The sequence below is a fragment of the Homo sapiens genome, chromosome 4 (genome assembly GCF_000001405.40).
Source record: "Homo sapiens chromosome 4, GRCh38.p14 Primary Assembly".
Lineage (NCBI taxonomy): Eukaryota > Metazoa > Chordata > Mammalia > Primates > Hominidae > Homo > Homo sapiens.
Genome location: NC_000004.12, coordinates 129,947,793 through 129,964,873, shown reverse-complemented (window position 1 = coordinate 129,964,873; position 17,081 = coordinate 129,947,793). Strand labels below are relative to the sequence as shown.

Here is a 17,081-nt window from a genome sequence, read left to right as displayed (position 1 = left end):
GAGGGCATCCCTGTCTTGTGCCAGTTTTCAAAGGGAATGCTTCCAGTTTTTGCCCATTCAGTATGATATTGGCTGTGGGTTTGTCATAGATAGCTCTTATTATTTTGAAATACGTCCCATCAATACCTAATTTATTGAGAGTTTTTAGCATGAAGGGTTGTTGAATTTTGTCAAAGGCTTTTTCTGCATCTATTGAGATAATCATGTGGTTTTTGTCTTTGGCTCTGTTTATATGCTGGATTACATTTATTGATTTGTGTATATTGAACCAGCCTTGCATCCCAGGGATGAAGCCCACTTGATCATGGTGGATAAGCTTTTTGATGTGCTGCTGGATTCGTTTTGCCAGTATTTTATTGAGGACTTTTGCATCAATGTTCATCAATGATATTGGTCTAAAATTCTCTTTTTTGGTTGTGTCTCTGCCAGGCTTTGGTATCAGAATGATGCTGGCCTCATAAAATGAGTTAGGGAGGATTCCCTCTTTTTCTATTGATTGGAATAGTTTCAGAAGGAATGGTACCAGTTCCTCCTTGTACCTCTGATAGAATTCAGCTGTGAATCCATCTGATCCTGGACTCTTTTTGGTTGGTAAGCTATTGATTATTGCCACAATTTCAGAGCCTGTTATTGGTCTATTCAGAGATTCAACTTCTTCCTGGTTTAGTCTTGGTAGGGTGTATGTGTCCAGGAATTTATCCATTTCTTCTAGATTTTCTAGTTTATTTGCATAGAGGTGTTTGTAGTATTCTCTGATGGTAGTTTATATTTCTGTGGGATCAGTGGTAATATCCCGTTTATCATTTTTTATTGCGTCTATTTGATTCTTCTCTCTTTTTTTCTTTATTAGTCTTGCTAGTGGTCTATCTATTTTGTTGATCCTTTCAAAAAACCAGCTCCTGGATTCATTAATTTTTTGAAGGGTTTTTTGTGTCTCTATTTCCTTCAGTTCTGCTCTGATTTTAGTTATTTCTTGCCTTCTGCTAGCTTTTGAATGTGTTTCCTCTTGCTTTTCTAGTTCTTTTAATTGTGATGTTAGGGTGTCAATTTTGGATCTTTCCTGCTTTCTCTTGTGGGCATTTAGTGCTATAAATTTCCCTCTACACACTGCTTTGAATGCATCCCAGAGATTCTGGTATGTTGTGTCTTTGTTCTCATTGGTTTCAAAGAACATCTTTATTTCTGCCTTCATTTCGTTACGTACCCAGTAGTCATTCAGGAGCAGGTTGTTCAGTTTCCATGTAGTTGAGCGGTTTTGAGTGAGATTCTTAATCCTGAGTTCTAGTTTGATTGCACTGTGGTCTGAGAGTTAGTTTGTTATAATTTCTGTTCTTTTACATTTGCTGAGGAGAGCTTTACTTCCAAGTATGTGGTCAGTTTTGGAATAGGTGTGGTGTGGTGCTGAAAAAATGTATATTCTGTTGATTTGGGGTGGAGAGTTCTGTAGATGTCTATCAGGTCCGCCTGGTGCAGAGCTGAGTTCAATTCCTGGGTATCCTTGTTGACTTTCTGTCTCATTGATCTGTCTAATGTTGACAGTGGGGTGTCCTATTTAATAAATGGTGCTGGGAAAACTGGCTAGCCATATGTAGAAAGCTGAAACTGGATCCCTTCCTTACACCTTATACAAAAATCAATTCGAGATGGATTAAAGACTTAAACATTAGACCTAAAACCATAAAAACCCTAGAAGAAAACCTAGGCATTACCATTCACGACATAGGCATGGGCAAGGACATCATGTCTAAAACACCAAAAGCAATGGCAACAAAAGCCAAAATTGACAAATGGGATCTAATTAAACTAAAGAGCTTCTGCACAGCAAAAGAAACTACCATCAGAGTGAACAGGCAACCTACAAAATGGGAGAAAATTTTCGCAACCTACTCATCTGACAAAGGGCTAATATACAGAATCTACGATGCACTCAAACAAATTTACAAGAAAAAAACAAACAATCCCATCAAAAAGTGGGCAAAGGACATGAACAGACACTTCTGAAAAGAAGACATTTATGCAGCCAAAAAACACATGAAAAAATGCTCATCATCACTGGCCATCAGAGAAATGCAAATCAAAACCACTATGAGATACCATCTCGCACCAGTTAGAATGGCAATCATTAAAAAGTCAGGAAACAACAGGTGCTGGAGAGGATGTGGAGAAATAGGAACACTTTTACACTGTTGGTGGAACTGTAAACTAGTTCAACCATTGTGGAAGTCAGTGTGGCGATTCCTCAGGGATCTAGAACTAGAAATACCATTTGACCCAACCATCCCATTACTGGGTATATACCCAAAGGACTATAAATCATGCTGCTATAAAGACACATGCACACGTATGTTTATTGTGGCATTATTCACAATAGCAAAGACTTGGAACCAACCCAAATGTCCAACAATGATAGACTGGATTAAGAAAATGTGGCACATATACACCATGGAATACTATGCAGCCATAAAAAATGATGAGTTCATGTCCTTTGTAGGGACATGGATGAAATTGGAAATCATCATTCTCAGTAAACTATCGCAAGAACAAAAAACCAAACACCACATATTCTCACTCATAGGCGGGAATTGAACAATGAGATCACATGGACACAGGAAGGGGAACATCACACTCTGAGGACTGTTATGGGGTGGGGGGAGCGGGGAGGGATAGCATTGGGAGATATACGTAATGCTAGATGATGAGTTTGTGGGTGCAGCACACCAGCATGGCACATGTATACATATGTAACTAACCTGCACAATGTGCACATGTACCCTAAAACTTAAAGTATAATAATAAAAGAAAAAAAAGACTTTCTGCAAAAAAAAAAAAAAGAAATTTTAAAAATATTAAGAGAAAGAAATTAGGTAAGTCCTGTGTATATTTATGATACTAATACTGCTTATTTTTTATTTGCAGATCTGAACTTACTGCTGAAATTTGCATTAATGTTACTAAGCACCTAGATCATCTTCATGCCTTTAATAAAAGTTTTAATCGAAGTCTAGAAAGAGATTAAAGGTTACTTCATTAAGCCTAGGCATGTAGAAAATAGCTACACAACACTGTGTAAAGAGAGAACAGTGAACACACATTTACAGTTAGTAATTTTTAATCTATTTATGTTTTCTACAACAGAATAGTTTATATTAAAACATTTTCTACCAAAAAAGAAAAATAAATTTGGAATTAATTTTTAAATAATTATATCTGTTTTTCTTCCTAATTGCATCACGTATTTTTGTTAAAATTGCAAGGATTTCTTTCGCCTTTCATTGAACACAAAACATATTAACTAAACTAGTATCAGTAGATTTTAAATGTATATGCATACATATCATGAGGATTTATATTTTAATTGTATTTTTAATAATTTTTATGAAATAGATACAAAAACACATGCACCCTTCAAATTGTATTCTCCTTATGTTTCAGTTCCAGTTTAGGTTTGTCATCTGCATAAATGTATTAAGGACCCAGGTTTCTTTTGACTGTTTTTACTCTATAACCCCATTGTTCCCATCTAGTTGTTTGAAGCTGCTTATTCTACCAACCCCAAGAAAGGAGAAAGAGAAGAAATAAAGAGGAAGCAATAGTCTGTTAAGGAGTTGGCATCGGATTTGTCTGTTTGGCAGCTGCTTATATTTTTTAATACTAAGCATAACTTTAAAATTCATATAATAATTCTCTGAGATGATTTTTTAAATACTGATTCTCTTTTCTGCTTGTTTGATTTTTGTGTCCAACTTTTAGGTTCAAGGGGCACATATTCACGTTTGTTAACACAAGTAAACTAATGCTGTAGGGTGCTGGTGTACAGATTATTTTGTCACCCAAGTAATGAGCATATTACCCAACAGGTAGTTTTTCAATCCTCACTCTCCACCGACCCTCCACCATCAAGTAGGATCTTATGTCTATTGTTCCCTTCTTTGTGTCCATGTATAATCGATGTTTAGCTCCAGCTTACAAAATGGAATATGCAGTATTTGGTTTTCTGTCACTGTGTTAATTTGCTTAGGATAATGGCTTCCAACTTCATCCACGTTGCTGCAAAGGACACGATTTTGACTTTTTTTTGTGGCTTCCTAGTATTTCATGGTGTATGTGTACCACATTTTCTTTATCTAGTCCACCATTAATGGGCATCTAGGTTGATTTCATGTCTTTGCTATTATGAACAGTGCTGTGATGAATATATGCATGCATGTGTCTTTTTGGTAGAATGATTTATATGAACAACTTCAATAAAGCTTCAGGATACAAAATTAATGTACCAAAAATGTAACATTTCTATACACCAATAACATCCAAGCTGAGAGCCGAATCAAGGATGTAATCACATTCACAACAGCCACAAAAAGAAAAAATACTTGGGAATACAGCTAACCAGGGAGTGAAAGATCTCTACAACAAGAATTGTAAGACATTGTTGAAAGAAATTAGAGACAACACAAACAAATGGAAAAACATTTCATTGTCACAGACAGGAATAATTAATGTTGTTAAAATGGCCATACTGCCCAAAACAATTCATGGATTCAGTGATATTTCTTTCAAAGTACCAATGATATTTTTCACAGAAATAAAAAAAAACTATGCTACAATTCATATGTAACAAGAACAAAAAAGCCCAAATAGTCAAAGCAATCCTAAGCAAAAAGAACAAAGCTAGAGGAATCACACTGCCTGACTTCAAACTATACTACAAGGCTACAACAACCACAACAGCATGGTACAGGTAGAAAAACAGACACATGGACCAATAGAACATAATAGAGAACTGAGACATAAAGCTGCACAACTATAACCATCTGATCTTCAACAAAGCTGACAATAACAAGCAATGGGGAAAGAATTCTGCCAAGTCTGTCCTGCAGACTCTGGCCGAGCGACAGATGAAAGCAGTACTCAGACACAGGTATCCAGTGAAAGAGCAGGCTAGGGGACTGCCAGCACTGGGGGCTGAAGAGAGTTAGCAGCCCCCCATGGCAGTGATGCTTGCATTTATTTAGTAGAGATTTAATGACAAAGGCCTGGAGCAAACACAGTTTTTGGGTAATTAACAGTGTCGACCCCTGAGTAGAGAGCAGTCCTGCATGTGATTGATCACAGGTTGGTTTCTGGAGACCAGAATAAACAAATTTATCTAGATAAGTTCCTTTACATTCCCTTGTTATCTACCCTTTGCTTTCAGGCTCCTGATAAGAGAATCTGGCTGCCTTCAGCCAAATCCTCTTTCGAAGCTTTTGCAAAACCTCCCAGCCTTCCAAGAAGGTTCACATCTTTCCTTTTTTCTTACAATTTCTCCTACCACCCTGACCGATCTCTCACAGGACTCCATTTTGAACAAATGGTGCTGGGATAACTGGCTAGCCACATTAAGAAGATTGACTCTGTATGCCTTCCTTACACCATACACAAAAGTCAACTCAAGGTAAGTTAAAGACTTAAATGTAAAACCTAAAACTATAAAAACTCTCGAAAAAACTTAGGAAATACTATTCTGGTCAAAGGCCTTGCAAAGATGTTATGACAAAGCCTCCAAAAGCAATATTAACAAAAACGAAAATTGACAAGTGGGACCTAATTCAACTGAAGAGCTTCCACACAGCAAAAGAAATTATCAACAGAAAACGTAAAACCTAAAACTATAAAAACTCTTGAAGAAAACCTAAGAAATACTATTCTGGTCAAAGGCCTTGCAAAGATGTTATGACAAAGACTCCAAAAGCAATTTTAACAAAAACAAAAATTGACAAGTGGGACCTAATTCAACTGAAGAGCTTCCACACGGCAAAATAAATTATCAACAGAGTAAATAAACAACCTACAGAATGGGAGAAAAATATTTGCATACTATGCACCTGACAAAGGTCTAATATCCAGAATCTATGAGGATCTTAAACAAATTATCAAGCTAAAAACAGACAACCCTATTTAAAAATGGGCAGAAGACATAAGCAGATACATCTCAAGAGAAGACATTCATATGACCAACAAGTATAGGAAACAAAATGCTCAACATCACTAATTATTAGATAAATGCAAATCAAAATCTCAGTGAGATATCATCTGACACCAATCAGAATGGCTATTACTAAAATGTCAAAATGACAGATGCTTGTGAGGTTTCTGAGAAAGGGAACATTTATACACTGCTGGTGGGAATGTAAATTGGTTCAGCCACTGTAGAAAGCAGTTTAGATATTTCTCAAAGAACTTAAAATAGAACTACCATGCTACCCTGCAATCCCATTGCTGGGTATATACCCAAAGGAATACAGATTGCTCTACCATAAAGACAGATGCTTATTTTCTATTAGTGAGAAGTTAGTAACATGTGAATAGACAAGGAAAGCCAGGAAATATAGTCTCCACCCGGATTCCCATGGATCATGCTAAAACAAGATTGGAAAGGGGTGGTGTGAGAATAGGTACTAGGGCAAGTTAGCAAGCTTTGCTGTATTGATGCATTTTCTTTTTTATTTCAATTTATTTTTTATTTGACAAATAAAAATTGTATATATCGTGTAGAATATGTTTTGAAATACATATACATGGTAAAATGACTAAAGCTAATTTACATATGTATTACCTCACATACTTCTTTTGTGGTAAACAAACACTTAAAGGCTACTGTCTTATCAATTTTTAAGAATATAATACATTGTCATTAACTATAGTTACCATGTTGTACAATAGAGGTCTTGAATTTAGTCCTCTTCTCTAACTGAAACTATGTAACCTTTGATCTACATCTCCCCAAACCCCGATAACCTCCAGTCCCTGGTAACCATAATTCTACTCTCTACTTCTGAATTCAACATTTTTAGATTCCACATATGAGTATGGTATAGTCATGCATTGCTTAACAACAGGGTTATATTCTAAGAAATGTGTCCTTAGATGATTTCCTTGTTATACAAACATTATCATCTACTTACACAAATCTAGGTGATATAGCTTACTACGCTCCTAAGCTGTATAGAATGGCCTACTGTTCCTGGGCTGCAAATCTGTATAGAATGCTACTGTACTGAAGACTGTAAAGAATTGTAACAGTGTAAGTATCTGTGTATCTAAACATAGAAAAGGCCCAATAAAATATGATATAAAACATTAAAAAAATGGCCTAACTACATAGGGTATTTATCATGAATGAAGTTTTCAGGACTGTTGTTGCTCTGGATAAGTCAGTGAGTGAGTGGCGCGTGAATATGAAGGCCTAGAACATTATTATATGACACTTTGCAAACGCAAACACTGTACACCTAGGCTACACTGAATTGATAAAAAATATTTTCTTTCTTAAATAATTAACCTTAATTTACTGTAACTTTTTTTTTTTTTTTTTTTGAGACGGAGTCTCGCTCTGTCGCCCAGGCTGGAGTGCAGTGGCGTGATCTCGGCTCACTGCAAGCTCCGCCTCACAGTTTCATGCCATTCTCCTGCCTCAGCCTCCCAAGTAGCTGGAACTACAGGCACCTGCCACCACGCCTGGCTAATTTTTTGTATTTTTAGTAGAGACAGGGTTTCACTATGTTAGCCAGGATGGTCTTGATCTCCTGACCTTGTGATCTGCCTGCCTCAGCCTCCCAATTTATTGTAACATTTATTTCCACTTTAGAAACTGTTATTTTTTTTAAAAAATTTGATTCTTGTAATAACACCTTAAAACACAAATACATTGTACAGCAGTAAAAATATTTTCCTTCTTTATATTTTTAGTCTATATGCTTTTTCATATTATTTATTTATTTATTTTACTTTTCAAATTTTTTTGTCAAAAACTAAGAAACAAACGCACCCATTAACTTAGGCCTACACAGGGGCAGAATCATTATCACTGTCTTCCACCAGTATATCCTGTCCTACTGGAAGGTCTTTAAAGGAAATAACATGAACGTGGTTGTCATCTCCTAGGATAACAATGCCTTCTTCTGGAATTCCTCCTGAAGGACCTGCCTAAGCCTGTTTTACAGTTTGCTATTCTTTTAATATGTAGAAGGAGTATGCTCTAAAATATTGATAAAAAGAATAGTATATTAAATATATAAACCAGTAATATAGTCATTTATCTTTATTATATTATGTATTGCACATAACTATATGTGCTACTGTTTATACTGCTGGTAGCCCAGCAGGTTTGTTTACACCAGCATCACCACAAATACGAGAATAATGTGCTGCACTGCAGTGTTAGGGTGGTGACTATGAAGTCACTAAGGAATAGAGATTTTTCAGCTTCATTTTCATCTTATTGGAACTCATCCCATATGTGTCCATCATTGACTAAAAGATTATGTGGTACATGACTATATTTGTTTTCTGTCCCTGGCTTATTTAACATAACATCCTTCCTATTCATACATGTTATATTAGTCCATTCTCACACTGCTATGAAGAAATACCCAAGACTAGATAATTTATAAAGAAAAGACATTTAAGTGACTCACAGTTCCACATGGCTGGAGAGTCCTCAGGAAACTTAGAATCATGGTGGAAGGAAAAGTAAACATGTTCGTCTTCACACAGTGGCAGGAGAGAGAAGTGCCAGCAGGGAAGATGCCAGATGCTTATAAAACCATCAGATCTCACTCACTCACTATCACAAGAACAGCATGGGGGAAACCTTCCCCATGATCCGATCACTTCCCATTGGGTCTCTCCCATGACATGTGGGAATTATAGAAACTACAATTCAAGATGAGATTCGGGTGGGGGTACAGCCAAACTATATCATATGTTAACACAAATGGCAGGATTTCCTTCTTTTGTGGCTGAATATTATCCCACTCTGTGTATACACACCACATTTTCTTTATCCCTTCATATGTGGAAGGACATTTAGATTGTTTTTGTATCTCGGCTGTTGTGAATAGTGATGTAGTGAACATGGGCATACCTTTGAGATGCTGATTTTGTCCCCTTCCAATATCTACCCAGTAGTTGGATTGCTGGATCATATGGTTTTTCTATTTTTAATTTTTTGAGGACCCTCCATACTATTTCCATAATGGCTGTACTAATTTAAATTCCCACCAACAGGGTGTGAGGTTCTCCTTTCTCCACATCTTCTCTAACACTTTCTGATTAGAAAATTTTAAAATATCCATCTTTTCAAGTAAATCCATAAGTACTTTGAAGTTGAGAGTTCCTAGGCATTATTACTCTTTTAAGTTAGTACTGCTTAAAACTTAATCTGGTGAAAAATCCTTCCTCTCTGTGGCCTCTTGCTTTATCAGAATTAAAGCAGTTATGAGCTCAGATCCATTGCATGTGTTACACAGTCCATGATGGTAACGGTAATAAGTGGCAATATTGCACACCTTTTTGAAAGGAACTGGTCAGTGACACTCCCCTTTCTGAACATTACATGGCAAACAAAGAATTCCAAATGATTTATAAATAGCAGTAGATTGTAGCATGGTAACAGAATGGAGATTAGAATGCAGAATATATTTGACAAGATCACAGAAAATATCAAATCATAATCCCATAATAAGAAAATATGAATTCTTATTTAATTCACAACACAGCAATATCCCCATACAGTGCAATTAAAACTTTCATATGTAATCATTCTGACTTGTCTTGGATGCAAGTGTCTTACGTGGATCTGCTGTCGTAAAAAAAAATAAGTGGAATTAGTGTGGGTTATAAAGGTATAACTTCAATTTATGAGATTAAAAAGTTTGTAATTTGGTTTCTAAAATCTTTAGGTTCTAGATTGGCATGTCCCATTCAATTTATTTTTATAAATTTTTAAAATATTTGGCAAATAATTGTTAAAGGCTTAGTTTAACTATTGAGGAAATACAATTTGCTTACTTGAGAAGGGTCCCAAATTTGTGAAAATCACTATTTACAGTTGACAGAATGGCAGGATCAAAGGACGAACACTAATTACCCCAAAGTAAAGAACTTGGATATAAATAGGTTAATGTATATTTGTCCACAAAGCAGATGGCTTTATGGTTCAAGAAATGGATAGTATAGTGGACAAATTGTCAAGGATCAAAACGGTATTCAATTACTCAATTGCTTCTTGCATGCATTATTTGTTCCTCTGACAGAAACAAAGAATTTAGCAGAGGGAATAAAATAGTCTATTCCTCCATGAAATTTAAATCCTAGAGAGAAATATCAAGACAATAAACAAATAATTACAATTTTGATGAATGTCATGAAGGGAGATACAGAGAAATTATTAACTGAGGCACCCTATCTACTCAGGGGAGATTCACAAAAAAAAAGTGAGATCTTAGTTAATACACAAAGGATGATGTAAACCTACCTATGTGTAGAGGTAGTGGTGGTGAACAGGAGTCCTAGGAAGAAGGATTTCCTGTTTTAATGTCTCAGTATGAAAAAAAGTAATTCCATTTGCTTGAAGCATAAGTAAGAGAGTAGAGAGGGGTGAGAGATGAACTTCAACATGTGTAGAGACAAAATTTTGTAGGATATCTTTTTTCCATACTAAGAACTTGGTACACCTAAAAAATGGCAAAGGGAAATTATTAAAGGGTTTTTGGTAAGGTGAAGGTGTAATTAGACTTGCATTTCTAAACAATGACTCTGTAACAGGGAAAAGTGTAGATTAAAGAAAGATTGGATCTGAACTATAAAGAAGGCCAAGGGGCTCTATCCCTAGTTTGGGCAGTAAAGGGCAGTGGGTGTCTGGCTTACAGCAACGGCAATGGAGGTGAAAAGAAGTTGACAAAATGATGGAGAGGGTGTGGATCATTAACATTTGGTGAGTAACTAGTAAGTTAAATTTTTTATTAACACAAAATAATAACATTTGTTGAAGGAAGAGTAAGGAAAAGAGAAGAGTCAAGGATGATTCCAAAACTGCTGGCTTCAACAACTTGGTGTATATAATTATCATTTAATATGTTTTAAAACAGCAGAGGAAGGATAGTTGGGAAGGTGGGGGAGGGTTATGAAACCATTAGTTTAAATTGTGTTTAAGACATAAAAGTAGAACTATCTAGTAAGGCATTAGACATATAATTTGTAGTTCAAGACAAGTTCTAGATTGAAGATAAAAATTCAAGGGTTCTCATCCTATCTTTGGCAGCTGAATCAATGACAGTGGATGAGATTACTTAGGGAGAATATTAATGGACAACAAGTACACATTAAGAAAAGTTAAATCAAGACACAGAATTAAGTGAATGATATTCTTTCACTTTACTAAACAAAGGGCTTATACAAAGTTATTCACATACTTCTCCATTATTAGCATATAACTAGGATCAACAAAAAAAGTAATGATTTTTAAATAATAATTACTGGTTTCAAAGACAAAATCAGCTAATTTAAAAGTTTGAAGAATTATAAAATATAACAATTAAATAATATAAAATTACTTAGTAATATAAATAAGTTAATTAAAATAAAAATGCCCTAAAGAAGACATTGAATATAACATTCTAGGACTATAAAAATGATTATGTGTCCTAGTAACAGACTGTCTAGTTAATGACACTAAATGCCCCTTATTAGATAATATATTAAAAATTATTTACCTAAAACCCAGTTGTTATTCTGCATGTGACTGTCTAGAGATGCTCAAGAAAAGTTCAGGTGAAAATCTGAAACAAAGTTTCAGGTTGTATTGAAGTGTTTTATTGGGCACAATAGTTCTCATAATAAGAAAATAAGAAGGCACATGTGTACATTTTTGTAGGAATTAACTTTCTCTCTTTAAGACTCATCTTTACTCCTCTTGCTAATACTTAGAGATACTTTAGTTATTAAGTTTATGATCCTAAAAAAGTTGGTAACTTTGCCTTAAAAATTAATGTGAAGTAATCTTGGGAGAGGAGAAAAGGATACTAGAGTTACAAGACCTACATTTACATCCTGACTTTACCATTTACTTAAATTTTATGAACTTCAGTGATTTCATATGAAAAAGTTATAAAAGATACTTCTATTACTGTGCAAACCAATTTGTGAAGAATAAAAAAAGATGAGATAAGTGATTTTATTACAATATTCAAGGCGGCTTAATTGCTACTTGGAATTGGATCATATAAATAAGGAGAACTATTATCACAAGTTTCAAGGAGAAAAATAAAAAGGAATCTATCTGTGACATAATAAATTTATTCCGGGGCACTCAGGAGTAAAGAAGAAAAGTCCCAGCTACTAAGCCACTGATAATACTTCTTGAAGACAGCCACACTGACATCAAAGAATAGTATTCTCCTCCATTTTTTACACCTCCACGAAGGGGAAAAAAACATGAAGTAAGGCATAACAGTGGGAGCATAGTACACTTGCATAATTGAAAAGTAAATATTAAAATATTATATGAATGTCCTTGAAATGTTGAAACTCTTTGAAGATCTAGGAAGTATCATTTTAGGCAAATGTTAGCTTTGGAAATCTTACATACAATGTAATAGTTGAAGAATCAGTTAAATATCCATAAGTCAATGTTTTAAATTAAATTAGTCTTTTATTTTTATAAAATTTGTTAATCTAATAAGTAGAACTGACTTGGTTTTCTAGGAAGATGACTTATTAATATAATCAGCAATTTCTAAGTTAATTTTTCCCACTTGACTAGTCATTGCTCACACTGGCATTTTTTTCTATGCAATATTCCTTTGGCTTTTTCAGATTGGAAGTCACAGAGTTTAAAAGTTTAAGTAACTAGTTGTCCTGAAACTTTTGCTATAATTTTATATCAATATTTAACTCGACACTACAGACAAGTACCCTTACAAGAGCTATATGCAATGTGTGACAAGTGTCTGCAGTATATGGCAAACACAAGTGAAATTAGCTTTCATTTCTCAAAGAAGTCATTAAATAGTAGATGTGAACAATATAAATTACTTCCTATCATCTTTTACATTTGATCAGTTGAAAGATCCTTTCTAAAATGTGGGGAAGAGGAAAGATACTGGAAGTGTGACACCCCTTTATGTTCAATTTGAAGATTTGTTCAGTTTTATATTCACACTACTTTCTGATGGTCTGTCTTTTCAAAATGGGATTCTTTTGATAGTCAAGCATCTTATATCTTATTCCTCCAGGCTAAGATCTCTATTTTCACTGCTTCCTTTGGAAAATTAGAATTTCTGTCTTCCACAATATTAAGTAGAGACTTTTTAAAAGTGCTTATGACTGGACAAAAAATGCATTAGCTGTGAAAACTGACAAGAATTTGTGCTTGTGGAGACAGCAAGAAGCAGCAAAGCCTCTATTACTAACATATTGCTTTTTATTATAAAATATGAGTCCCATTAGTTTTGGGCTACAGCCAAATCTCTTCTCATAGTTTAAAAAGGAGTTACCTTGACAAGATTCAACTTAAATCACATCTTGATCTATATTATGAACACAAAAGAATCCTTTCTGCATTAAAGTGACAATAAGAGTCTGATTTATAATCCTAAAGCAAAGAAATTTGAAGTAAATCAAATGACTTAGCACTTGTTCCTAGGGTTTTGTTTTTTTTTCCAAGGGTGTGAAATCTAAGAGGAAAAAAAGAATAAATGTTACACCAAGCATTCCGTCTGTATACTCAAGGTATTATGTGGGTATATTAAACGTGCATTTTCAGTTTAGCGAATTTCAAAGAGATAATTCGAAGTTAGATAACTGTCTTTTCAGAACTACAATGTAATTTGTGGTGTTTCTGTAATTTTGAGTGTGCCTTCTTCTTCCTTTTTTCCTTTCCCTTCCCTTCCTCCCTCCCTCCTTCTGTCTTTTCCTTCCTTCTTTCCTTCTTTCCTTCCTTCGTTCCTTCCTTCCTTCCTTCCTTCCTTCCTTTCTTTCTTCCCTTTTCTAGAAGCATATTGTGGAAATACATGCTTCATAATCTTAAATACTCTCCAGAAAATTTATTTCTGGTTAACTTAGGTTAACCACCTAGTATTTCCCTACGCATCTAAGCATAATAACCGCATGTAAAAGAAAGTATCTCTCCAGAACAAAAAAAGAGACAAACATTTATTTATTTAAAAAATATTCAATCAGTATCAAAAACTGTTCTGAATGCTGGCAAATGAGATGAAATCCATGCCCTCATGGAACTTACATTAAGGGTGAGTCTGCCATAAACATGACAATTATATAATATTTATCTCCTGTGTAGGAGGGTAGATCAGAGAATGGAAGAAAAAGATGGGGCCATGATATTGGGGGAAAACTTTTGAAAGAAAAATTATTAAACTGTGCTTTTGGGGTATACTGGGGGCAAAATACGCTCTAAGCTGAAGAAATGCCATGAATAAAAGCCTGTCTTGAGGAAGTATGAAAAAAGAGCAGCTCAGGAAAGATGGTGAAGAGACGTTATGGCATATTAAGCTAGGCATTTGAGATATCTAGGGTAAGTGCTACTTAGACATAGTTTTGAAACCATAATTCAAGACTTAGGATGACATTCTCTGTAAAAATACAAACCATCTGAAAAATGATGAGTATGGACAGTAAGAATATCTTCATTCTTCCTCAGACACCACATTTCACAGGCAAGAGGAGAAGTGAAACTTCATTCACTTTTTTTTCTTTATTTTGGTCCTCGGACATCCCCCAATCTCTCTAATACGCACATGGATAAATGCTCTCTAAATACTGACTTAGTAGAAATAACTAAAAATAATACAGTAAACTAAATTCAATACTCTTAATATTTAATAGATTGATATGCAAAAAATTTTACATACTAGTAAAATCTGTAAATATTTTTGCAAAATTTTGGTAATACTATAAGTTTTTTTGTTATTATTTTTTTTTTCTTAGAAATGTTTAGAGGATGATTTCTTGGTCAGCACTCTGCTAAAAGTCATATTACAATTTGAAAGTGCTTAAATAGTTTCATAAGCAATATAATATGTTTTTAAATTATTAATGCTGCTTCTATGTCTTATTAAAATTAACAAAACAAAAGTTAGTATTTGAATTAAACTGCCAACACTGTTCTGCAGTGGTACTACAACTATTTTGCTTGTGAAAAATCTAATATGATACCTTTATTCTAAATTACTATGATATATATAGAGTTCCACATATTTACTTACATCAAAGTGAAATATGAGACCTTTACTTTGCTACTATATAGTTTTTTATCATGGAAATATTATGTTAAAGTTAACGAAAAGAAATACAAAGAAAGTAAATTATGAATAACTGTGTTTTGTCATTATTTTTAATGGAAAAAACTGCAATTACTTTTGCACCAAACTAACAGCAGTCCTTCTTACTACTACCAATACAAGTGTATATTCTAATGAACATAAAACACAGGAACTAATTAGGATTGGACCCAAATTCTCAATACAAGGATTAGGACTAACTTTTGTTTTACTTGTTTTTAAACAATAAACAGGGAGCCTTTGTCATGTTTATATAAAATCAATAGATTTTACTCAAGCAAACAAGTCTACAGTGAAAGAACTGTTGAAGTAGAAGATAATTTTTAGGTGATGAAACTCCACACTTTTCAGGAAGCATGTTTTATAGATTGAGAAGCTAAGATTCCCCCATAATTTGTTAGTGCCAGAGCTGAGACCCCATCCAGCTCTTACCTATAGTGCAGGGGTTTATCCACCACATCACACTGAATGATATACCTTGGGACTGCAGAGTTCGTGTTTAACACTGTGATGATGACTATAATAACATAGCTTTTACCAAGGACAGCCCAAAATGATAAACCATATCTCTGCCATGAACATTTTTAACGCAACTCAGTGAAGGATTCTCTCCTTACCTTTGAAGGATTCTGCCTTATGTTATGCTACTAGATGACGTAGGTATTATGAAGAGAAAACCTGAAGAAATATACAAATATAAAAAATATACAATGAAATTATTTCCCTCAAACACATAATAATAACTGTAATATCATAATTATAATAAACTATATTTTAGTAAGAAATTATCTAGTATTATACAAGCAGATGAAGGAGACTCAATTGGATTCAAGACTGCTTTTGACTGTTAGTTTAACACTGCTACAACTGCGTCTACAAGCCACCAGCTTAATTGATTAATAGTCAATCATGTGTCAAATAGTTTAACCAAAATTGTTGCTTGACTTAGTGTATGAAATAGTTGATTGAGGGAGAATAATTAAAGTTGTCAAAGGATATAATCAATTACTTTTCCATAAAAAATATACATATCCCCAAGTATTTTTAGTAACTGTAAAGTAATACAAATAAGAATAGGCTCGAAAGTATAAGGTAAGGTTGAACCCAAGTTCTATCAATTCCCAGTTAAATGTCTTAAGCTAGGCTGTTAAATTGTTTGTCAAGTGCAGTCAGCCTTACCTGATTTATACGCCACAAGTTTAAGAGATTAATATGATAACATATTCTAAGTTGCTTATAAACAAAAACATAGTATATTTGCATTGGAGGCTATATGAATTGGTTGAAGAAATTGAAATAATCAAGGGGCTGGCAAAATGACTGAATAGGAACAGACCCAGTCTACAGCTTCCAGTGAGACCAATGCAGAAGGTGGGTAATTTCTGCATTTCCAACTGAGGTACCCAGTTTGTCTCATTGGGATTGCTTAGACAGTGGATGCAGCCCACGGAGGGCAAGCAGGGGCAGGGTAGGGTGTTGCTTCACCTGGGAAGTGCAAGTGGTCTGGGAATTCCCTCCACTAGCCAGGGGAAGCCATGCGGGACTGTGCCATTAGAGACAGTGCTATCTGGCCCAGATGCTATGCTTTTTCCAAGGTTTTCACAACCTGCAGACCAGGAGATTCCCTCAGGTGCATACACTACCAGGGCCCTGGGTTTCAAGCATAAAACTAGGCAGCCATTTTGGCAGACACCAAGCTAGCTGCAGGAGTTTCTTTTTTCTTTCTTTCTTTTTTTTTTTTTGTACACCAGTTGCCCTGGAACACCAGTGAGACAGAACGATTTACTCCCCTAGAAAGAGGGCCAAAGCCAGGGAGCCGAGTGGTCTCGCTCAGCAGATCCCACCCTGATGGAGCCCAACAAGTTAAGAACCACTGGTTTGGAATTCTCACTGCCAGCACAGAAGTCTGAAGTCAACCTAGAATGCTCCAACCTGGTGGGGGAAGGGGTGTCTGCCGTTACT

General features: G+C 34.9%; 1 long non-coding RNA gene across 1 annotated transcript in view, besides 2 other annotated features; it reads right to left on the bottom strand.

Moving 5' to 3' along the window:
- Window positions 1-9,505: 9,505 nt before the first annotated feature.
- The window catches only part of LINC02465 (long intergenic non-protein coding RNA 2465), a 183,750-nt gene continuing 176,174 nt past the window's right edge, over window positions 9,506-17,081 (bottom strand). Inside the window, exons 14-17 of the long non-coding RNA NR_151713.1 lie at window positions 15,737-15,797; window positions 11,535-11,600; window positions 10,298-10,496; window positions 9,506-9,622 (exon numbers count right to left, since the gene is read on the bottom strand). This is a non-coding gene — a long non-coding RNA (long intergenic non-protein coding RNA 2465). The remainder of the gene's footprint in view (window positions 9,623-10,297; window positions 10,497-11,534; window positions 11,601-15,736; window positions 15,798-17,081) is intronic.
- Window positions 11,115-11,284: an enhancer, noted in NCBI's record as "experimental_74251 CRE fragment used in MPRA reporter constructs". NCBI's record gives its function as "activates a minimal promoter by MPRAs in K562 erythroleukemia cells, with activity observed for the introgressed 4:130874830 variant allele {active_cell/tissue: K562}" and the evidence as "EXISTENCE:reporter gene assay evidence [ECO:0000049][PMID:34662402]".
- Window positions 12,413-12,582: an enhancer, noted in NCBI's record as "experimental_74235 CRE fragment used in MPRA reporter constructs". NCBI's record gives its function as "activates a minimal promoter by MPRAs in K562 erythroleukemia cells, with activity observed for both the introgressed and non-introgressed 4:130873532 variant alleles {active_cell/tissue: K562}" and the evidence as "EXISTENCE:reporter gene assay evidence [ECO:0000049][PMID:34662402]".